The 23373-nt window shown below is 41.7% G+C and overlaps 1 protein-coding gene across 2 annotated transcripts in view, besides 1 other annotated feature; it reads left to right on the top strand.

Moving 5' to 3' along the window:
* The window catches only part of ERCC6 (ERCC excision repair 6, chromatin remodeling factor), a 104658-nt gene that overhangs the window by 56667 nt on the left and 24618 nt on the right, over window positions 1–23373 (top strand). For both annotated transcript variants that reach the window (NM_001346440.2, NM_000124.4), the window contains exons 10-20: window positions 9–185; window positions 4402–4518; window positions 6562–6657; window positions 8630–8845; window positions 9285–9395; window positions 9844–9963; window positions 10402–10496; window positions 11752–11897; window positions 11983–12690; window positions 21316–21520; window positions 22421–22499. In NM_001346440.2, the coding sequence (NP_001333369.1) occupies window positions 9–185; window positions 4402–4518; window positions 6562–6657; window positions 8630–8845; window positions 9285–9395; window positions 9844–9963; window positions 10402–10496; window positions 11752–11897; window positions 11983–12690; window positions 21316–21520; window positions 22421–22499 (2070 nt within the window). The remainder of the gene's footprint in view (window positions 1–8; window positions 186–4401; window positions 4519–6561; window positions 6658–8629; window positions 8846–9284; window positions 9396–9843; window positions 9964–10401; window positions 10497–11751; window positions 11898–11982; window positions 12691–21315; window positions 21521–22420; window positions 22500–23373) is intronic.
* Window positions 9757–10956: an enhancer, noted in NCBI's record as "BRD4-independent group 4 enhancer chr10:50679962-50681161 (GRCh37/hg19 assembly coordinates)". NCBI's record gives its function as "activates an origin of replication core promoter dependent on BRD2, P300/CBP, MED14 and CDK7 cofactors, and independent of BRD4, by STARR-seq in HCT116 cells {active_cell/tissue: HCT116}" and the evidence as "EXISTENCE:reporter gene assay evidence [ECO:0000049][PMID:35650434]".

Raw genomic sequence — 23373 nt, 5'->3', positions numbered from 1 at the left:
TCAAATAGTTTCGCACCCCTCATCGGATCATTCTGTCTGGCTCACCGATGCAAAATAACCTCCGAGAGCTGTGGTCGCTCTTTGACTTCATCTTCCCGGGAAAGTTAGGCACGTTGCCTGTGTTTATGGAGCAGTTCTCCGTCCCCATCACCATGGGGGGATATTCAAATGCTTCCCCAGTACAGGTAAAATATTAGGATGATAATACTTTTGGCATTTTAATATTTAAAGTGCTCCTATTAAATACTATAATTTGTAGCCAAGTCATTCAGAATGTGAGAAAGATGGCCAGGCTCATAAATTGGTATCTGGTTAAAAAAAAAAAAAAAAAATCACAAAATTATCTTTGCTTGATCATATTTTTTCACTTAAAACATCATGAAAACTATTCACAGAGAGGAAAGCCCTAGAATAAAATATCTCCTTGTTTAATGGAAATTAAACAGTTTTGGCATTGTTCCTGGGATGTTTAAAAAGATGTCACATGTGGTCAGAAGAGCAGTTAGAAATTATGAAACAAGGACAAATCAGTTTGGAACAGCATGTAATTTAGTCCTGCAAACTGGGGTAGTGCATCTTATAAAGTAGTGGAGAAACTTAGAAAAGGGGACACTAGGAGGATTGGACTGTTCAGGGATGATTTAATGAGACATGCCCCTTAACCTGATTCTGGGAATGTAGGCCATGGAGAGTGAGGGCATTCTTGATTAGGGCAACAGTGTGGATGCAGCCACCATATGTGGCAGGGCGCAGTGAAGAGACCCACTTGACTGGATTGGAGATGCTTGTGGGGGCATAGCTAAAAAGCTGTGGATGCTAGAACTGTGGGGCCTTGAAAGGGAAGCAGTGGCACTCAGGGAGGGCTGGGTTACTGAAAGTGTCTGAGCAGGACTCTGGAGGATGCTGGTTCTCAGGGGTTCCTCAGGCTACAGGGTAGTCACAAGAGGGAGGCTGGCACTGAGTGACCTGCAGGAACCACTGGGGTGAGGGCCATGAGGACCTGGACCTGATCTTGGGTGGTGGTCTGAGAAAGATGGTGGGGCAGGAGACGCAGGTGGCATTTTTAGGCAGAACAAACAAGGTTTGGAGGCTGACAGGATCGAGGAGATGGAGTAGGGGCTAAGCTTGCTGTGAATGACTGACTGACTCCTGAGGTTTCAGGCCCGGGTGCCTGATGGAATGGGGTGGTCACAGGCAGAAATGCCAGGAGGTGAAGTTAGCCATAGGGTGGTTTGTGGCCTGTATGGCAGGCTGCAGCCTGGGTGGGAGGCACGGTTTCTGTGCATCCCTTCTTGGGTGGGCCTGTGCCTACCAGGTCATGGCTGAGCCAGGGATGAGACCTTCCACCAAAAGGGAAGCTCTCGTATTTTGGAGTATTTAATTAGAAAAAGAATTTTAGACCTTTAAGATTAAAAGATTGTCAAAAACAATTTTAATATATTTTACATTTTGAGATTGAATGATTTTCAGTTAACTTTTGTAAGGAGTCTCTTCTTTCTCTGAATCTCCTGTTATACCATTCTTTTTTTTAAAAAAATTTATTTTGAAATAATTTCAAACTTAACAGAAAGTTGCAAGAATTTTAAAAGAACAAACAAACAAGAAAACCTTCTTAACACTTCACCCAGATTCACTGATTGTTAGCATTTTGCAAACATTTTGCCACATTGGCTTTACCATTCCTCCCCTCCCTCTCCCACACCTCTTTCCATGTAGATTCACAGCTGAGGTTACTGTTTTCTAACCACCTGAGGGCAGGTTGCAGATCTGATGCCCCTTTCTCCAAATCCCTCAGTGTGTATTTCCAAAAACAAGGATCGCCTCTTACATAGCCAGTGTAAGCAACAAAATCAGAACGAAGTTTAACATTAATAGGAGTCTGTTATCTAGTCTATAATCACTCATATTTTGTCAGTTCCAGTAGTTTCCGTGTCTCTAGTCTCCTTTAATCTGGGACTGTTTCTTTGCCCTTCATTACCTTGACATTTTTAAAGACTATAGGCCTGTTAGTTTGTAGAATGTACCTCAGTTTGGGTTTGCCTTACATTTCTTCATGATTGGATTCAGGTTATACATTTTGGCTAGGAATATCACAGAAGTGATGTGTCTTCCTCAGTGCATGGTATCTGGAGGAACATGCTGTCTGTTTGTTCCACTATGGGTGATGTTAACTCTGATTACTTTAAGGTGGTGTTGGCCAGATCTAAACTCTGTGAGATTACCACTTCTCCTTTGGCATTAATAAGTCATTTATAGAAAAATTATTTGAGAACATGTCATTATGATCTGTTTTTTTCCTTGAAGTTCTTGTTTCAGGAATTTGTGTACTTATCTTTCTCCCCTTCCTAGCGGGTGAGATCTTTGGAAGCAGAGTATTGGTTGTATTTGCTCCTTTTTGTTTGAGACCATGTTGCCTTGCATTATTGAATTCTAAGAAGATAGTCTGTGTGCCGGTATTTATTCTGTCATGCTGGTGCTAAAATGATGGCAGGGGCTAGAAACCAGAACCTTCCCATGAAGGTATTTCCAGTCCAGTAGGGGTGGGCACAGGGGAAAATGGCAAATAAACCTGGTCCCAGTACAGGGCAGTGAGGACTGTGATCAGGGGAGATGCCCAGTGTCAGAGCTTATGGGGCTCAGAAAGGCTTCTCGGAGAAGGGATGACTCACCTGGGGCCTGAAAGGTGAGGAAGGTGATGGGGAGCATGTCAGCAGCCCAAATATAGACTGCTGCTGGGGTTGGTGTGCTCAGCTGGGGCAGGGCATGTGAGAACTGAGAAGAGCCTGCAGGGACGCCTAGTTGACCCTCTTTATTCCACATGCAAGGTTTTTGATTCTCAGCGTTCTGGTGACTTGCCTAAGGTCACTGTGCTCAGGAAGAGGCAGAGCTCTGCCTTGTCAGAATGGGAAGGAGCATGGGCATGCTCAGCAAGTTGTCTGTTTTCCACAGCACTGGGATGTGAGCATTGGTAGAGAAATCTAGCTGAATCCCCACCTTGTGTTTTTATGAATAGAGGAACAGACTGGGAGCCAGTTGGGAGTGAAACAGAAGATCATCTCCATGGGGTGGCATGCAGGAGAGAGCAGGAGCCACAGCCCGGCCGTTCCCCAGCCTAGCCCTGGTTTAGTTGACCAGCACCTCCAACCAGCATGCTCGCTCTTCTGCGGAAGGGGGTGTGGGTGGAGGGAGGATGTGGGGGCAGTTTTCTTTATAGACTGTACATTCGTGCTTCCTCAGTGGGACTATGTTTTTAAATTCTGAAATTTCATCATCTCTGCATCAGAAATCATAATATGTACCTCATCATCATCTTCAAGGTGATATTCATCAGTCTGAATGATATATTTAAGGAGTTATATATAACTAAAAGTCATTGATTAGTTGAGCTTCTTTTTTATGTATTATTCAAAGTAAAGCCTATTTTAATATTTACGCACATGCATTCATACAACAGATACACACACATACATATATGTGCATGAGTGAGGTATTTTTAGCGTTCTTTAAGAACATTTTTTAACAAGTTAATTTTTTAACTTTTTTTTCTGTGTGTGTGGTCAAGCTCTTTTTTATTATCATTCATTTTACAGCTGACTTTCTTAAATTTAAACTTTGGTTGGAATTTTTTCCATGAAATAGTAATTTACTAAGTTGTTAAGCCTATTTAGATTTTTTTTGAAGTAGCAATAATTTATTGACTACTTTGCCTGTAAGTGAATTGCAGAGGGAGTGGTTTTCTGGGCTGTGGGGCTTTTTTTTTTTGCGTATATTTAGTACTCATCTCATGTGGCCGTGCTCCATTACAGAACCATATGCTGCATTTTAGGGCAGAGTGACCTTTCGTTTCTGGGATCAGAGGGCTCTTGTTGAACTTACTCTTGTAAGTCTCCAGTGGACAGTAATCTCTGCTTATTGGCTGGCTGCTCCATCACTGTAGCTTTTCCCCAGAGTTAGCTTTTGATCTTCAGCTTTGCAGAGTTCCTTTGTAGCTTTTGGAGAATACAAGATCATAAACAGAGATTTGTACAAAAGCAGTTTTTCCCCTAGGGCTGGTGGTCAAGAACCCAGTAAGTCTCTACTTTAGGGTTTAACTGTATAGTAATAATTAAAGGAAAGTGTATAAGAGAAATAAGGCACAAAATTATCAGTTTTTCTTTTGTTGTACATTTTGGTTAATGAGATAATTTTTTTAACTGATAATATTATGAAAGCTACCACCCCTTGGAGTATATGGAACTTATGCTAGCTTTTTCAAACCATTTTGCAATCATTTCCCACTGACTTTATACAGCTGTTGGTTATTCTTTTTTTTTTTTTAAGGAATGGAAGCAATTGAGAGGTAAGAACAAATGCGTTCCTTAAACATATATAGTAATGTTCCCTTCTCTGCTCTTATTAAAGGTCAAAACTGCTTACAAGTGTGCATGTGTCTTACGAGATACCATAAATCCATACCTACTGCGGAGAATGAAGTCAGATGTCAAGATGAGCCTTTCTTTGCCAGATAAAAATGAACAGGTCTGTAAATCCAGGAGTTAACGAAGCATTCCTAAAGCACAAGTGTGTCTTTCCCTTCACTCTGATTCTCCTCTGCGGATGAGAGAGTCTGGTGAGGTATGATCCTGGAACTGTGGGCAGGCTAGGCCCGCTGTGGCGTCTGCCCTCAGTGGATTCTTCTCTAGTCCACAGGCTTTGACCTCCCTCTTACTGACACATGGATTCCTATAGCTACTCTTTTAAACATCTCCATTCTCCTTAAGCCCCTAATTCATTCATGCTACAAATTGTATTAGGTGCCAACCATATGCCTGTCGTGATCCTAGGCTCTGAGATACAGCAGTGAACAAAGCAAGTTTTGTTCTCATGGGGACTCACATTTATTCTTGAGGGAGAGTGTCACAAAAAGGTATAGAAGATGTCAGGTGGCAGCATTAAGTGTGGAGACAAATGAAGCAGGGTTGAAGGATAAGCTGGGAATGCTGAGGGCAAGGATTTGGGGAAGTGGGCCATTTGTAAGGGTTGGTCAGAGAAGACCTTTGATGAACTGACACCTGAGCAGAGGCCTAAAGAAGGCGAAGGAGCAAGTCTTGTAGGTTTTGAAGGCAGAGCATTGCAGATGGTGAGCTGTGGCAGTGCTTTGGGGCCTTCATAGACAGCAGGGAGGCCAGTGTGGTCAGGGCTGGGAGCAAGGAGGAGGGTAGAAGAGGAGGAGCTAGCTGGGAAGACTGGGGAGGCTGGCACAGACAGGTGCATGAACAGAAGTGAAGACCTGGGCATCGGAAGGTGAGTAGGGTGACCTGGAAAGGACCCAGTGTGTTTGGCCACTAGGAAGTCATGAGTGATGCCTCAGTGGCATCAACAGAGGTGCCCGTGAGGCTTGCTCTGGGTGCGGGCTTCAGGAGTGACTGGAGGTGAGGAAGTGGAGGTGGGGATGGTACCTAATTTTCTCAGGAATGCCCCCATCTTCCACTTGGAGGCTAATGGGTGAGGCACTGTACTGGGGAGAATGAGTGGGTCTTCAGATACAGTGCAGAGGTGGAAGGGTTGCCCTCCATCCTGTACAAGAACCTCTTCCTCTGGGAATAAAGGAAAATGAGGTGGATGCAGAAGTAGAGACATGTTAGGGAGTGAAAACCAGGGAATCATGCCTGATCCTGGTAGGTTCAGGTTTGATTTTCATTTTGTTTTTATTTGTCTGATTGTTTTTAAGTAGAAGTTGAGACAGAGTTGCGGGTGGCTTGGGTGGTGAGGAGCATGGGCACAGTTGCTCTGGGCTTGTGGAAGATGCTGGGCGGGCATGCGTAGAGGACCCCCTGGAGCAGGACAGGCCATGGCAGGATGCTGCCATGTATGAGCTTTTCTCCAGCAGCACCGGCACTGACCATAGGTCTGCAGAAGACTGATGGTTGAGTTGACCTACCTTTGGATGTTTACAGGGAAGATGCAGGGGGTTGAAAGGGGTCCAGGTAGGTGGCAGAGGGGTGGCTAAATGAGCATCCGTGGGAATGTAACTGGCGGTGGTGGACTTTGCGAAGGAGGGAGGGTTGAGAGGTGAAGGGTCACAGAGCACGATCGCATGGAGTGGTTGGTGCAGTGGGCTGGGAGGGTAAGGGTTGCCGTCCAAGGCAAGTCTGGTAACTCATGGGCCTGCACTTAGAGCTCCAGGAGAGGGAGAGCTCCAGGTGAGGTTGTGGTCTCTGGTCAGGTCTGCCGAGTAGAGCATGGCATGGGTCATGGGAGGTGGGATGGTTTGAGCACTTGGAGGCTAACGTGGAGGATGGTCTGTGCACCTGGGCACTGAACTTGCCCGTGAGCAGGAAGCCAGTCTTTGGGGACTGTGGGATGGGCCCTGGAGGTAGACAAGTGACAGAGATGGAGGGGCTGGTGAGCAGGGTATGGTGAGAAGTATTGTCACCCTTTGTTGTTTTAATATTAATAATAGGGATATCATTAAAATCGCATGCATTGTGCTCTTTTGATCAGGAAGTTTTGTTGATATTTTAATTATTTCTGTTAATTTTTTTTTTGAAATTATAGTTTCCTTGTTTTTCCCGTCCGTAGGTCTTATTTTGCCGTCTTACAGATGAGCAGCATAAAGTCTACCAAAATTTCGTTGATTCCAAAGAAGTTTACAGGATTCTCAATGGAGAGATGCAGGTCAGCTAAAAAATAGAAGCTGGAGAAATGAATTGTGGACCAAGAGAAGTGAGGGAGGAAAAGAAACTAGGATCTACATTGTGCCAGGCTTTTCACGTACTGTCATCTCACTTCACTTGCATGAAGTCCCGCATGGTAGATGTGCAGTCAGCCTATGGCCTGGAGCCGTAAGGTGCAGAGGAGTAGGTAACTGGTGAAAGGTGGAAAGTTGCAGAGCTGTGTGCTGTGGATCTGAACCCAGACGCAAATGCAGCTGCGAGCTGTGCAGTTACTGTTACTTCCGAGGGTCTTACCTGGTAGGTGGGCGGGTGTCAGGTACATAGCTGCATTTTCCCAGATATTATGACCAGAATTATATATCTTGTGGAGAGGATCATGAGGATTCATAACTTTCATCAGCTTCCTAAAGGAGCCCCATTCCCCAATAAATGTTTATGAACCATTGCCATGTTAGGAACCAGATATAAATCTGGTTCAAATGTCCCTGGCTCTAATTCTCATTGTCCCCAGGGTAGGACAGTAATTTATTTATGGTGATTCTGTTCCTTTCAATACTGAGAAAGCTCTCTTTCTACTAGTGTCCAGAATTCAGAAGTTCCTAGCTAGTGTCTTCTCCAAAAGACTCTATTGTATAAATAATGTGAGTGTGATTAGGTCATTTCAGTTCTTTTAACCATCTCTCACAATTTCTTATTTCATTTCTTATTGGTTGCTACAGGAGGTTCTTCAGTCATTCACATCTATTCATCTCCATGAATCTCCCCTTAACTTCTTCAGGTCTTTCCAAGTTAGGGGGTCTAGATCACACTATCCAGGAAAGGGAATGCAAACTACACTTGGAATTGTAAATTTTCTAGTAGTCACATTAAAAAGGAAAAAGAGAAACAGGTGAAATTAATTTTGATATATATTTTATTTCATATATCTAAAATACATTTTAATATGTAATCAAAAATTAAAAATGATTAAAAAGATATTTTACTCCTTTTTTGTTCTGTCTTCGAAATTGGGTATGTATTTTACATATGCAGCACATCACAATTTGGACTAGCCACACTTCATGTGCTCAGTAGCCACGTGTGACTAGTGACTACTGCATTGGACAGTGCAGATTGAAAGGAAGAAGAATGAGTCACGGATGACTCTGGGGAGGTTTACCAATGTTCCTGACTTATTCAGATCATTTATTGTTAATCTGTTTACTGTTGTTTACTAGTGATAGCTACCCTACCCTTTGATTATTGGCTTAATGGTGATTTCTCCTCTGCTCAAGCTTTTAGACCAGTGAGTTTGATTTGAATCATCCTCTCAAGGCTGGAAGAGCCCCATTATTGAAGTTTTGTTAATGTTCTTTTGTGGGGATGGGCCGGGGCACTCACCCCTTGTCTTCTGTGCCCTTCTGCATGGACCATATCTTTCCCATTCGTGCATTCCTATTCGTGCATTTTTCATGCAGTTTTTTTTCTGATATAATAATAATCTAAAGGTAAATGGATCCTCAACCTCTGACTCATATTAAACTGCAGAACTTTTAGTGAGGTAATTAGGAGTGTAATATTTAAATGCATTTGATAAGTCACATGACTGATGTCTCCAAATTTAGGTTGATAGGACATTTCTGATCCATATTTAAAAGGCGAATTCCTTTTTTATATTAGGTTTATAATACCGTGAACTGCATACCTTTTTTCTAGTGAGGGAAAATGAATTATCAGCAATTGAATATGACCCCTGTAGACGTGTTCAGTCCAGTAGAATTTTTTTGTTTCTGAGAACTTGTTCTATCAGGGAAACAAGATGAGTGAAAGTTAATTTCTCCCAGCTCATGATAATGCTGTGACTAGAGAAGAAACTAAGAAGCTGGTGGAGAACTGTTTTTTAGTCTGTGTTATAGGTTAAACAGCCTCCTTGCCTAGGGAATCTTACTTTACATGGGGTCATCTGAGTGTACATGTACTCTTTCTTACCACAGATTTTCTCCGGACTTATAGCCCTAAGAAAAATTTGCAACCACCCTGATCTCTTTTCTGGAGGTCCCAAGAATCTCAAAGGTCTTCCTGATGATGAACTAGAAGAAGATCAGTTTGGGTACTGGAAACGTTCTGGGAAAATGATTGTTGTTGAGTCTTTGTTGAAAATATGGCACAAGCAGGGTCAGCGAGTATTGCTGTTTTCTCAGTCAAGGCAGGTGAGTGCACAGACTTCAGACGGGAAACAGGCTGGTTCTTTATGACAGCCATCAACTCACAAAATGGGATTCAATCTAAAGTAATGATTCTGAAGCAAGTCTACCACTGATGCTGAGGTGGCAGTCTACCGATTTCTTTGGGAGTTTAGATCTTTCTCTAGAGTTGGTGTCTAAAAGTTGACTTTTTAAAAAAGCTCACCATGTGATTCTAGTCTGCAAGTAAGTTTAGGCCTGAGCTTTGGCTGTTTACAAAAGTAAGAATTAACCATACGGAAATACCAAAAATACTCTTTTAACAGTTCTGTTTATCTGTCCTAAAGCAAGAAACTCCTTTTAACATAGGCCTGTTGGGGAAGGTGTTACCATTTACACAAATAGAGAAGCACTCACTGGGAATGTGTATTTGCTTTGCAAACTCCTATCCCCCACCTCCAAACAGATGCTGGACATACTTGAAGTATTCCTTAGAGCCCAAAAGTATACCTATCTCAAGATGGATGGTACCACTACAATAGCTTCAAGACAGCCACTGATTACGAGATACAATGAGGTAACATGTGAATGTAACAGGGAAGTTGAGTGGTGCTGCTGTACGTGGAGGGAAAGGACTAAGCGTATCCACACCCTTACCCACCAAAGCAGCATTGACATCTGGGCTTGGGAGGGGGCCTAAGGGGAGACTTGTTGTTTTTAACTCTATGCCCTACTTCTGGATATTTGGGGGCGGGGATTGTGGGCATGTGTATGTTCAAACAAAGAATGCGTTTTCTACAGCATGTATTTTCCTCCTAAAAACCCAATTTTTAAATATTTCTATTAAATATTAAAAGTAAAAGCTGTGAAATGAGATTTTGATTCACCAGAGGTCTCTAGGACATTACCATTCCTTATATTGGGAACAGCCCAGTAATTCCATGTGTACAATATGTGGAGGCAGAGGCTGAGAACTGTAACTGGTCTTAAGTGTGTGTGCTCAGTGTTGTGTGTCTTACCTCTAGGACACATCCATATTTGTGTTTCTTCTGACCACGCGGGTGGGCGGCTTAGGTGTCAACCTGACGGGGGCAAACAGAGTTGTCATCTATGACCCAGACTGGAACCCAAGCACGGACACGCAGGTTTGTTTTTATTTTTTTTTTAAAAGAATGTATTAGTAGAAATATAGTTTCATGGTTAGCGCTTTTGACTGTCCTTTGATGTTCTGGTTGGCTTCAGCATACGTTTCACATTTTGATTGTCTCCTGTTCTTCAACGTGAAAGAAGACACCCTTCAGAGTCAAATGGACAGGAACCATCTTCAGCAGTTTATCCATAGCATTCATTCCTAGAGTTGGGGTAAAAAGAACATAGGCAAAGTTACAAACATTTTTTCAAGTAGAGATGTCTTTTCAACTGGCTGTTCATCTTCCTGAGTAGGCCTTAGGTGTACTTGACGTCATGAGTCAAAATTCTAACTCTGGGAGTGACAGGTAGTGACCAGCTAGCTTTGTTTCTTATAGTCAGTGCTTGTCATTGGGAAGGATTCTCGTTGAGAGGTCTCTCTCTCTCTGTTGCAGGCCCGGGAGCGAGCATGGAGAATAGGCCAGAAGAAGCAAGTGACTGTGTACAGGCTCCTGACTGCGGGCACCATTGAAGAAAAGATCTACCACCGGTCAGTGCACACAGTGGCCACTCTTGGCTGTGCGTTCCCAGAGTCTTGAGCAGGGAATTTTTCCAAAGTGTTGTTTTTAAAAGTCTTAACATCTTAGAATAATAGTTGCTATAACTTAAGGCTTTGGTTTTTGTTTTGTATTTTTTCTTTCCCTTTAAAATATGCTTAGATGTCTTACTGTGAGTTGTCAAAAAATGTCTTTGAACCTGATAATTTTTGTACCTTATTCTACCTCAAGAATCACATACATGTAAACTTCATATTGTTATTTGAAAGGAATATTTCTGCCTGCTATGGTGTGTTGCCTTCAGAAAAATTTTAAAAAATGACAAGGTTGAATGTTACCATATTGGTGTTTACATACCACATTATGCAGGTAGGATCAGTGTGGGTGTTCTGGCAGTCTTTGACTCTGATGCCCCTTACAAAGAAGTCGACAGGATGGCTGTTTCGTCCTCTGTCTTTCCATAATGACTAGGGGATTTTAGACAGTGGTAACTTCAACAGTAGAATCAAGACATTGCCAGCTTCTCCCACTCCCCCACCACAGACTTTATCCTTGAGCCATAGCCCAGCTTTTATAGGAAGCTCTGTGCCCTTTACCACATGCTGGGCCATTCCTGGAACATTACATCTTCCTCGAGGGAGTGTTGTGTGAGGGTGGAGGACGAGTTGGATCCTGTGAGAAGAGAGCTTCCTTTTATAGATTCATGCTTTAGCTGGGAGAATAAATGACAGGGAGGGACAGGGTGGCTGGTGGAGGTGCCTGTTCCAGAGTGGCAGTGGTGTGGGGCTTCAGCAGAGTGTGGACCTGCAGGTGGGAGCAGGGAGAGAGAGGTCAGAGTGGAGACATTGCAAAGCCCAGGTAAGAGAGTTTGCTGAGCCCTATGATAGGAAGGTTCTAGGCAGGGCAGGACCCTTGGTATTCAAGTCAAGGAGGCTAAGAGAGACTATGAGTCACATGATGGCATGTGAAAAGGTGTTTCTTGAAATGTGTTAGATCTTGGAGGTTGAAAAAGCTCATTCGGTGTAAATAATAAGGTATTATTTCTAATTTAAATTCTGCAAGACCTGGGAGATTAACTGATGTATTATATATTTCCTGAATTGTAATTTTCCAAGGCTGAAAGTTTGGGGGATTATTTAGCCATTCATGCAGCAGCTGTTATCATCTCTCTCTTATATTGCTTTATAACTTGAATTTTTAGGTAGAGCTACACATTGTTTTATACCAGCTTATCTTTTATTTTTTTAGACAAATCTTCAAGCAGTTTTTGACAAATAGAGTGCTAAAAGACCCAAAACAAAGGCGGTTTTTCAAATCCAATGATCTCTATGAGCTATTTACTCTGACTAGTCCTGATGCATCCCAGAGCACTGAAACAAGTGCAATTTTTGCAGGTATTACATAAAATCATTTAATTTAAAGTAATCAATTGCACAAGATGATACAATATAGTATTAGTGGTGTTTTTCCTCTTTACAGGAACTGGATCAGATGTTCAGACACCCAAATGCCATCTAAAAAGAAGGATTCAACCAGCCTTTGGAGCAGACCATGATGTTCCAAAACGCAAGAAGTTCCCTGCTTCTAACATATCTGTAAATGATGCCACATCATCTGAAGAGAAATCTGAGGCTAAAGGAGCTGAAGTAAATGCAGTAACTTCTAATCGAAGTGATCCTTTGAAAGATGACCCTCACATGAGTAGTAATGTAACTAGCAATGATAGGCTTGGAGAAGAGACAAATGCAGTATCTGGACCAGAAGAGTTGTCAGTGATTAGTGGAAATGGGGAATGTTCAAATTCTTCAGGAACAGGCAAAACTTCTATGCCATCTGGTGATGAAAGCATTGATGAAAAGTTAGGTCTTTCTTACAAAAGAGAAAGACCCAGCCAGGCTCAAACAGAAGCTTTTTGGGAGAATAAACAAATGGAAAATAATTTTTATAAGCACAAGTCAAAAACAAAACATCATAGTGTGGCAGAAGAAGAGACCCTGGAGAAACATCTGAGACCAAAGCAAAAGCCTAAGAACTCTAAGCATTGCAGAGACGCCAAGTTTGAAGGAACTCGAATTCCACACCTGGTGAAGAAAAGGCGTTACCAGAAGCAAGACAGTGAAAACAAGAGTGAGGCCAAGGAACAGAGCAATGACGATTATGTTTTGGAAAAGCTTTTCAAAAAATCAGGTAATCCATTTGATACGTTTGCCACAGGGATGCTAGGATTAGAAAATGAGTAGGCTGTTTCTAGCAGTAGCAGTCTTTAACTGATGGTGCATAGAGGGCTGTCAGCCATTAGTGTTTTTCTTCAAAAATTTAGATTTGAAATATATTGACATTTTAAAAATCGTATTTACACCTCTTTTCTGAAGACCTAGAATAATTTGAAACTTTGGAAAACAATAGTACTTATGGCCACTCATGGGAGGTGTGCAATTCTTAAATCGATGTGTACTACCTGAACATTAGTAGGCAGTTACTTTACATGCTATATGCTACATTAATCTGATTTTCCAACCACAGGAGATTAAAGTAACATCATAAGGGAGAGGGACAAGCGTGTGGCTAGAGACAGACATTCTAGAAGTATGAAAGCTGATAGCTTATGTCAAGGGAGAAAAGTTAGGAGATGTAGACTCAACAATTGCTCAAGACCATGGAGTATATAGATAGCCCTGCTTAGTGATCCCTTAGCAGTCACTGTGTTCACAATGTGATGGCCTTGAGTTACCAAAGATTGCTGCTTATGGTACTCAGTTTAAGAAGGCAGGTTTATGTGTAGCATTTCAGAAAGACTTTTATTTAGCATGGTTAATTTTTTTGTTAATTTCATATTTTGAAGTAATTTCAAACTTAAATCAGTTGGGTCTCAAAAAAAAATCAGTTGGAATAATACGAAGAACTCTCCTATATCCTTTATCTAAGTTATTAACATTTTTCAGCTTTTGCTTTATCATTCACACACACACCCATCTATGCATACATTTTTTTTTTGGTAGGAATGCCACAGAGGTGATACCGTATCTTACTCAGTGCATCTATCAGGAGACACATGCTGGTTTGACCTATTACAAGTTGATTTTTAAGATCACTTGGTTAAGGTGGAGTCTGCCAGGTTTCTCAATGCTAAGGTTAATATTTTTACCTTTGTAATTAATTTGTGCTTTCAAGGAATATGCTTTGAGACTGTGTAAATATCCTGTTTCTCATCAAACTTTTATCCACTAGTTTTAATATCTATTGATGATTCTTTCCTCAGTCAGTTATTACTACAATGGTTGCCAAATGGTGATTAACATTCTATTGTAAGGAAGGTTTTCCTTCTCTCTTATTTATTTATTAATTTATTTTTAGATCAGTGTGGACTAATGGATTCTTTTTTTTTCCATGACTGTAATCCATTAGTAGGGGTATTATGATGCTCGTATTGTCTTAGATTTGCCTCATGGGTGGGAGCTCCTTCAAGCTGGCTCCTTTGTCCCTCTGGTATGTCCCCACCATTCTTTGAGCACCTCCTTTCTTCTTGGCATACTAATATATGCTGAGCTCAATTTGTATTCTGTGCCAGCCCTGGAATCAGCCATTTCTTCAAGGAACCCTGGAGAATGGTATTTAGGAACTAGGATCCGGGTTCTCAGAGTGTTCATTGCTGCTATTATGTCATTGCTTTCGTAGCCAATAGTATCAGGAAATAGATGTATGTATGTGTGTGTATGTGTTTGTTGTGTACATACATATACACATACATACGTGCATATATATGCACAACAAATTGCACAGATACACCTGTCTCTATGTCTGTGAAAACCATGAATTTGGCTTCCAGCAAAGGCAGATTAACATTTACCCTTCCATGTGAAACAATGAAAACAATGACAAAACATATGAAGCAATGGTTTTCAGACACCAAAGGGCAGTGATCTCTTGAGAGATGGGAAACAAATGAACTGAGCTCTCCAGTTGCCCTGCCCTACTGCCTTGAGAGAATTTTCGTGCTGTAACAGAAAGAGGGAGAACCCAGATGGGAGTCCAGGCAGACCCTCTGTTGAAAAGGCAGAGCTGAGCATCAGGGGAGGCCAGGGTGGCTGGCATTCACATGCAAGAGACGATAGCGGAGACAGCTCTGCACAGGGAGAGAACCCCACAGGTCTGCAGAGTCTCCACTGGCACTCAGCTGAATACTGACCAGCACATTGTGCAAGAAAACTACTTAAGGTCAGTGAAAAGGCCTTTCCTCTTTAACTTTTCGAATTAGAGGAAACATGTCTGGTGCTCACCCATGGCCAGGGATAGTGCCTGTTCCCACCAGCTAAGACTGGAAAAATATTTCATGGGGCATTGGGTATGATACAGAGTAGGGGGTCTTGCCTCTGTAGTAGGGAATGATCAGCCTTAGAGTGAGCACTGCTTCAGCCCTACCTGAGTGTTTACAGGAATATACAAATACCCAACATCCAACAAGATGAAATTCACAATGTCTGGAACCCAATAAAAAATTACTGGCTGGGTGTGGTGGCTCAGCCTGTAATCCCAGTGCTTTGAGAGGCTGAGGTGGGTTGATTGCTTGAGCCTAGGAGTTCAAAACCAGCCTGGGCAACATAGTGAGATCCTATCTCTACAAAAAATAAAAAAAAAAATAGCCGGGTGTGGTAGCATACACCTGTGGTCCCAGCTACTTGCGAGGCTGAGCTGGGAGGATTGCTCGAGCCTGGGAGGTTGAGGCTGTGGTGAGCTGTGATCATGCCACTGCACTCCAGCCTGGGCAGCAGAGCGAGACCCCATGTCAAAAAATAATAAAATGTATAACCCAATTTTTTAAATGGACAAATAATTTGAACAGACTTCACCAAGAAAGATATGTAGATGGCAAATAAATATATGAAACTTGTTAATATTATTAGTTATTAGGGAAATGCCAATTAGAACCATAACGAGATACCACTATACACCCTCTAGAATGGCTAAAATGAAAGAAGACTGACCATACTAAGTGTTGGTAAAGATGTGAAGCAGTTGGGTCTCATACACGCCTGGTGGGAATGTAAAATGGCACAATCACTTTGGAAAACAGTTTGGCAGTTGCATGCGCTTTCCTTGTGATATAGCTTTTTCAGTCCTGGGTGTGTATTTGCCCAAGAGAAATGGAAAAATATGTCCATACGAAGGCTTGTACATGAATATTCGTAGCAGCTTTATTAGTAATAGCCAAAAATGTAGAAATCAAATGTCTACCAACAAGTAAATAGTTAAACTAACCATGGCATATCCATATGATCAAATACTAGTCGACAGGTGGGGCTTGGCTCACGCCTGTAATCCCAGCACTTTGGGAGGCCGAGGTGGGTGAATCACCTGAGGTCAGGAGTTCGAGACCAACCTGGACAACATGGTGAAACTCCATCTCTACAAAAATACAAAAATTAGGCATGATGGTGGGTGTCTGGAATCCCAGCTACTTGGGAAGCTGAGCGGGAGAATCGCTTGAACCTGGGAAGTGGAGGTTGCAGTGAGCCGAGATCACACCATTGTACTCCTGCCTGTGCGACAGAGCAAGACTCCGTCTCAAAAAATATATATACTAATCAACAATAAAAGGAAGTAGAGTATTGATACATGCTACAGCATGGATGACTTTCGGACTAGTAAGATTAGTACATACTCTGATGCCGTTTGCATAAAATTCTAGAAAACACACAGTCATGACAGAAATTGGATTGGTTGTCTGGGCATGGGGTATTTGACGGTGGGATTACAAAGGGACATGAGTTTTGCAGGTGACGGCTATGTTCATTGTCTTGATTGTAGTGATAGTTTCATGGTATGTACATAATGTCACAACTTACCAAATACTGTACTTTAGCAGTTATTGCATATCAGTTACACTCTAATAAGCTCCAAAAAGCAAAATAAGATGAGGGAATACTGTTGTCTCCAATTTCATTTCAGCACCCTAGGGCCCTTTCCATGTTTGTAGCTTCCTTCTTCAAGACCTTCATTCACAACGTACTGAGTTACTTGTCAATCCTAGGATACATGGTAGCTTTTTACAATTTCTGACCTGAACTATGGCAAGAAACAGTTATACTAACTAGAATTCAATATTTGTTTTTATTTATACTAACTAAAGTTCAATATTTGTTTTTATTTCTTTTTGTCTTTAGTCTAAGTTTTTGGTCAAAACACTACTTGAGTCAAAAATAACTTAGTTCTTTTTTCTCACCCTTCATCATATTTTCAGTGTGTGCTATCAGTTTAAAATACAGTTAGGTTAATTTATTTGTTTGTATTCCACTTTAGGGTTTCCTCCCATCCTTGTTGACTCTATGTTATCTTCTGAGTAGTAACACATTAACATAGTAACAAAAGACAAAATATGCAAAAAGGAATACCAGAGTAGTGTCATCCCCCACCCTGTCCCCACCCCTTCCTTACCTTACCAGTCTCATGAGTTTCTGGCATTTCCTTCATGTGTTTCTGTGTTAGTCTGTTTTCACACTGCTGATAAAGACATACCAGAGACTGGGCAATTTACAAAAGAAAGAGGTTTAATTGACTTACAATTCCACATGACTGGGGAGGCTTTACAATCATGCAAGGAGGAGCAAGTAACATCTTTCATGGATAGCAGCAGGCAAAGAGCTTGTGCAGAGAAATTCCCATTTTTAAAACCATCAGATCTCATATAAGACTCATTCACTAGTACAAGAACAGCACAGGAAAGACCCAACCCCATAATTCAGTCACCTCCCACCAGATTCCTCCCATGACATGTGGGAATTGTGGGAGTTACAATTCAAGATGAGATTTGGCTGGGACATAGCCAAACCATATCTTTCCACCTCTGGCCCCTCCCATATCTCATATCTTCACATTTTAAAACCAATCATGCCTTCCCAACAGTCCCCTAAAGTCTCAACTCATTTCAGCATTAACTCAAAAGTCCACAGTCCAGAGTCTCATCCAAGACCAGGCAAGTCTCTTCTGCCTATGAGCCTGTAAAATCAAAAGCAAGTTAGTTACTTCCTAGATACAATAGGGTTACAGGCATTGGGTAAGTACAGCCATTCCAAATGGGAGAAATTGACCAAAACAAAGGGGCTATAGGCCCCACACAAGTCTGAAGTCCAGCAGGGCAGTCAAATCTTAAAGCTCCAAAATGATCTCCTTTGACTCCTTGTCTCGCATCCAGGTCACGCTGATGCAAGAGGTGGGTTCCTATGGTCTTGGGCAGCTCTGCCCCTTTGGCTTTGCAGGGTATAGCCCCCCTCCTGGCTGCTTTCATGGGTGGCATTGAGTGTCTGCAGCCTTTCCAGGTGCATGGTGCAAGCTGTCAGTGGATCTACTGTTCTGGGGTCTGGAGGACCGTGGCCCTCTTCTCATAGCTCCACTAGGTGGTGCCCCAGTAGGGACTCTGTGTGGGGACTCCAACCCAACATTTTCCTTCTGCACTGCCCTAGGAGAGATTCTCCATGAGAACCCTGCCCCTGCAGCAAACTTCTGCCTGGGCATCTAGGAGTTTCCATACATCTTTTGAAATCTAGGCAGAAGTTCCCAAACCTCAGTTATTGACTTCTGTGCACCCTCAGGCTCAACACTGTGTGGAAGCTCCCAAGGCTTGGGGCTTGCACCATCTGAAGCCACAGCCTGAGCTCTTTGTTGGCCCCTTTCAGCCACAGCTGGAGTGGCTGGGACACAGTACACCAAGTCCCCAGGCTGCACACAGCATGGGGACCATGGGCCAGGCCCGTGAAACCACTTTTTCCCCCTGGGCCTCTGGGCCTGTGATGGGAGGGGTTGCCATGAAGGTCTCTGATATGCCCTGCAGACATTTTCCTCATTGTCTTGGGGATTAACATTTGGCTCCTCGTTACGTAATGCAAATTTCTGCAGCCAGCTTGAATTTCTCTTGAGAAAATGGGGTTTTCTTTCCTATCACATTGTAAGGCTGCAAATTGTCCAAACTTTTATGCACTGCTTCCCTTATAAAACTGAATGCCTTTAACAACACCCATGTCACCTGTTGAATGCTTTGCTGCTTAGAAATTTCTTCCGCCAGATACCCTAAATCATCTCTCTCAAGTTCAAAGTTCCACAGATCTCTAGGGCAGGGGCAAAATGCCGCCTGTCTCTTTGCTAAAACATAACAAGAGTCACCTTTGCTCCAATTCCCAACAAGTTCCTCATCTCCGTCTGAGACCACCTCAGTTTGGACCTTACTGTTCATATCACTATCAACATTTTTGTCAAAGCTATTCAAGAAGTCTCTAGGAAGTTGCAAACCTTCCCACATTTTCCTCTCGTCTTCTGAGCCCTCCAAACTGTTCCCATCTCTACCTGTTACCCAGTTCCAAAGTTGCTTCCACATTTTGGGATATCTTTTCAGGAGCGCACCTCCCCACTGGTACCAGTTGCCTTTATTAGTGCATTTTTATGCTGCTGATAAAGACATTACCCAAGACTGGGCAATTTACAAAAGAAAGAGGTTTAATCAACTTACAGTTCTGTGTGGCTGTGGAGGCCTCACAGTCATGTCAGAAGGCAAGGAGGAGCAAGTCACATCTTACATGGACGGCAGCAGGCAAAGAGAGCTTATGCAGGAAAACTCCCATTTTTAAAACCATGAGATCTCATGAAACTCATTCACTCATGAGAACAGTGTAGGAAAGACGCATCTTCATAATTAATCACCTCCCACTGGGTTCCTCCCATGTCACGTGGGAATTGTGGGAGTTACAATTCAAGATGAGATTTGGGTGGGGACACAGCTGAACTATATGTTTCTTTTGTAGAAATAAGCAGGCACATGTATAATTTTATATTCCCTTATTCTCTTACACAAAAGGTTGTATACTATATTATCTTCTGTTCCTTTTTTTAAAAAAACTTCATATATCCTGACAGCCACTGCAGTATTAATTAACAGAGAGCTATTCCTCCTTTAGCAATTTTTATTGCTAGAGTGCTCTGCTATGTTGACCCAAAACCTGAAATCTAAAATGCTCTAAAATCCAAAACTTTTTGTGCACTGACATGATGCCAGATGTGGAAAATTCCACACCTGACTTCATGTGATGGGTCACAGTCAAAACACAATTAACACTTTGTTTCCTGCACAAAATTGATAAACGTATTATATTAAAATTACCTTCAGGCTATGTGTGTAAGGTGTATGTTAAAAATATATACATTTTGTGTTTAGACTTGGGGCCCATCCCCAAGATGTCTCATTAGGTATATGCAATTATTCCAAAATCTGAAAAAGGCAAAATCTGAAGCACTTCTGGTCCCAAGAATTTTGGGTAAGAGATATTCAACCTGTACCACAGTTTATCCACATATGAGGATTTAGATTTTTTATAGCTTCTTTTAGCCACAGTGCTGCACTAAATAATCCTGTGCTTATACAAGAGGAATTGCTAGATCAAAAGGTAAACACATATGTAAGTTTGTTTTGTTTGTTTGTTTGAATAATGCCCAACTCCCTTTTGTAAGGTTTAGATCAATTTGAATTGTCACGAGCAGTTGTTGCCCAGAGGCTTGTCAAGAGTGTGGTGTTACACTTTTAATTTTTCCCAATCTGATAGGTGAGAAAGGATATCTTAAGTTTTAATTTCCAGTTATTTTCTTTGAGTGAAATTGAACTTTTTATAGGACCATTTATATTTAAAAAATTTTTCTTTCTGTGAACTTGTCTGTTCATGTCTTTTGTCCATTTTCTAAATCAGGTTTTTGGTCCCTTTTTCCCCTTGGTTTTAAAGAGTTCTTTATATATTAGGGATGTTAGCTTTTCATTTTTCATATATGTTACAAGTATTTCCTCATTGGTTGTCCTTTATTATGATTTTTTTCCTATGAAACAGGTTTTTTTTTAAAAAAATTGTCAGTCTTTTATTAATTGGAATTGTAGTTCTAAGCCTTTTCTACATATAGATCATATGATAATTCGCCATGTTTTCTTGTACTACTTGTATGGTTTTGCTTTTTACATTCAGATTTCTGATCCATTTGGAGTATGAGGTGTGGATTTTATCTTGGTTCAAAGATAAAATGCCCCAACGTTTGTGCCCCAACGTTTGTAGCATCATTTATTTCAAATAAGTTTTTCTCAGTGATTAGAGATGCCTTTATCATGTAGTACATTTCCAAATGCAGTTCAATCTATTTCTATTTTCTGGTCAATCTCCTGTTGTGTCTCTTCTTTCCTCAGCACCAAACTGTTGTAATTGGAGCGTGTTTTATTGTCCAATAGGGTGTTACTTTGCCTTTTCAGTGTTTTCTGATCTGTTCATGAAGGTTTATTGTTCTGTATGAACTTTAGTGTCAGTTTGTCTAGCTTCATAAGAAAGGTTGACATTTTTATTGAGATTACATTAAACATATAAATTAACTCAGGGAAAATGGTTATTGAGTCATTCTACTCAAATGCAAGGGATGTCTTTCTGTTTGTTTAAGTCTGATAGTCTATCTTCCCAGGAGTGTTTTCATGTCTTCTCCATATAGGCTTTACACATTGCTTGGGTTTATTCCTAAGTGTTTGGTCTTTTCTGTTACTGTAAATAGAATTTTCCCACCATTATATTTTTAGCTGGCTATTGTTTGTAAATAGGAAGGTTATAGGTTTCTGTGTGTGAATTTTATATTTTTTATGTTGCTTGAATTATCTTACTATTTTTTATCATTGATTCTCTAGGGTTTTCTAAGTGTACTATCACTTTGTTTTTGTCTACTACAGTACTGTACTTATACAGAGGAGAAAAGTGTCTTTCTTGCATACAGAGTGAAATATCACTTTGCTATTTCTTTTCTTGCTAGTTGGCGTGCACAGTGTCATGAAGCACGATGCCATCATGGATGGAGCCAGCCCAGATTATGTACTGGTGGAGGCAGAAGCCAACCGAGTGGCCCAGGATGCCCTGAAAGCACTGAGGCTCTCTCGTCAGCGGTGTCTGGGAGCAGTGTCTGGTGTTCCCACCTGGACTGGCCACAGGGGGATTTCTGGTGCACCAGCAGGAAAAAAGTAAGAGATTGCTGCATGCCATACTTGCAAGGAGTCCAAACAACTAAGGCTAGAAATAAAATCAGGGCAGGTGTGGAGGCTTATACTGTTATTTCTCTTCAGGAATAAATCCCCAGGGAGGGATTATAGCAGCAAAATCTGGGTGACTTGGAGAAATACTGTTATAACTTTGCCTTCCTCCTTGCTTTCATCCCCTGTTTTCCAAAGTGGCTTCAGGAGAAGTGATTGGTTTTATTTGAGAGATGGTGTTGTTAAAAATAGTAAGAGATACAGGATAATGATTAAACCTTAATGAGATAATTAGCCAGTTTACAGCACACATTAATTACTTTGCTATTCAGTATGCTCTTTTAGAATGATTTTCCTACTTGGAATTGAGAATGGTTCCCATCATCTTTTGAACAAGATACTGAGTGGTTCTCATTCTGAGATGCAGCAGTTCCTTTTTTTTTTTCTTTTTTTAGAGATGGAGTCTCGCCCTTTCGCCCGGGCTGGAGTGCAGTGGTGTGATCTTGGCCCACTGCATTCTCTGCTTCCTGAGTAGCTGGGATTACAGGCTCCCGCCACCATGCCAGGCTAATTTTTGTATTTTTAGTAGAGACGGGATTTCACCATGTTGGCCAGGCTAGTCTCGACCTCCTGACCTCAAGTGATCTGCCTGCCTCAGCCTCCCAAAGTGTTGGGATTACAGGCATGAGCCACTGCGCCCAGCCAGCAGTTACTTTCTAGGAGGGTGGAGTGGAAGAATCGAGGGGGATAGAGCAGAAATGGCATGGCTGTGAAAGAATAAGCATGCAGATGGAAATGTTTCCAGGAAGAAGTTCATTGTTGAAAGAATATTTTGATCTCTAAGTCTCAAAAGCAAACATTTAATCTACTGTGATGCTTTTCCTTTTTTAGGAGTAGATTTGGTAAGAAAAGGAATTCTAACTTCTCTGTGCAGCATCCTTCATCAACATCTCCAACAGAGAAGTGCCAGGTAATATAGATAACCTTTTTGCTTTCCAGGGTGAGACTTGCTTGATTGAATGCTGTGAAAATTTCACCTGATTCTGGATGTGAAGAAAATGGTCATCTCTGGTGTAATGACACCTGATATTTGTGTTGCACGCTCTGATTTACGATGCACATTCACTTGAATCTAAAAGGACCTGCTGATTTCCTAAAGACAAAGTCTTTAACCCAAGATCCGTAGCAGCATTTCTGTTTTGCCATTAGAAGGTTGACACAGGGATAGGTGTGTCGCTGCTAGGACAGCCTGCCTTGTCTAGAGGGAAAGTGCCAGCTCCAGAGACCACAACCCTCTGAAATAAAAGTCCAGAAAACTGCCTTGAATGTTGGTGTCTGTAACTCACTGGCTGCTAGAGCAGAGTGCCTGTCTTTCTCTGCTCAAGAATGCCCTGCTTGCCTTGAGTGCTACTGTGGTTAAAACTAGTCCAGATTCCACCATTCAGTGGAAGTCTTTCTGGTCTTTCTGATTAAGGATTATGTTAAAACTCCCAGATTCAGACTCCAATTTTAAGTTAATGTGAACATGTTTAGGAATACTAGTACCTTTTTGACTTCCCATGTTCTGTGCTTTTAGCAGTAGGGATTTGAGACCCTTTCAGAGTTAGATTTGTGTTTTTTTAAGGCAAGTTGCATTAGATGTAAGGTAGGAAAGAGTAAGAAGACTTAAAAGTGAAGAAAAGGAAGTATAGCTATGATATTGTTCCTTATCCACAGTGTACAGGGTCCATTTGAGAGGAAGAACAGGAAAAGCCCACAGGTACTGAAAGTGGTCCTGGGCCTCCTAGAGACAGATTTTCCTGAAACCTTGCCTGGAAGCCTCCACTCTGCCTTCCTGTCCACCA

The sequence above is a fragment of the Homo sapiens genome, chromosome 10 (assembly GCF_000001405.40).
Source record: "Homo sapiens chromosome 10, GRCh38.p14 Primary Assembly".
NCBI classification, from domain to species: Eukaryota; Metazoa; Chordata; class Mammalia; order Primates; family Hominidae; genus Homo; species Homo sapiens.
The sequence above is the reverse complement of the archived record's forward strand: the minus strand, read 5'-3'. Positions and strand labels throughout refer to the sequence as shown.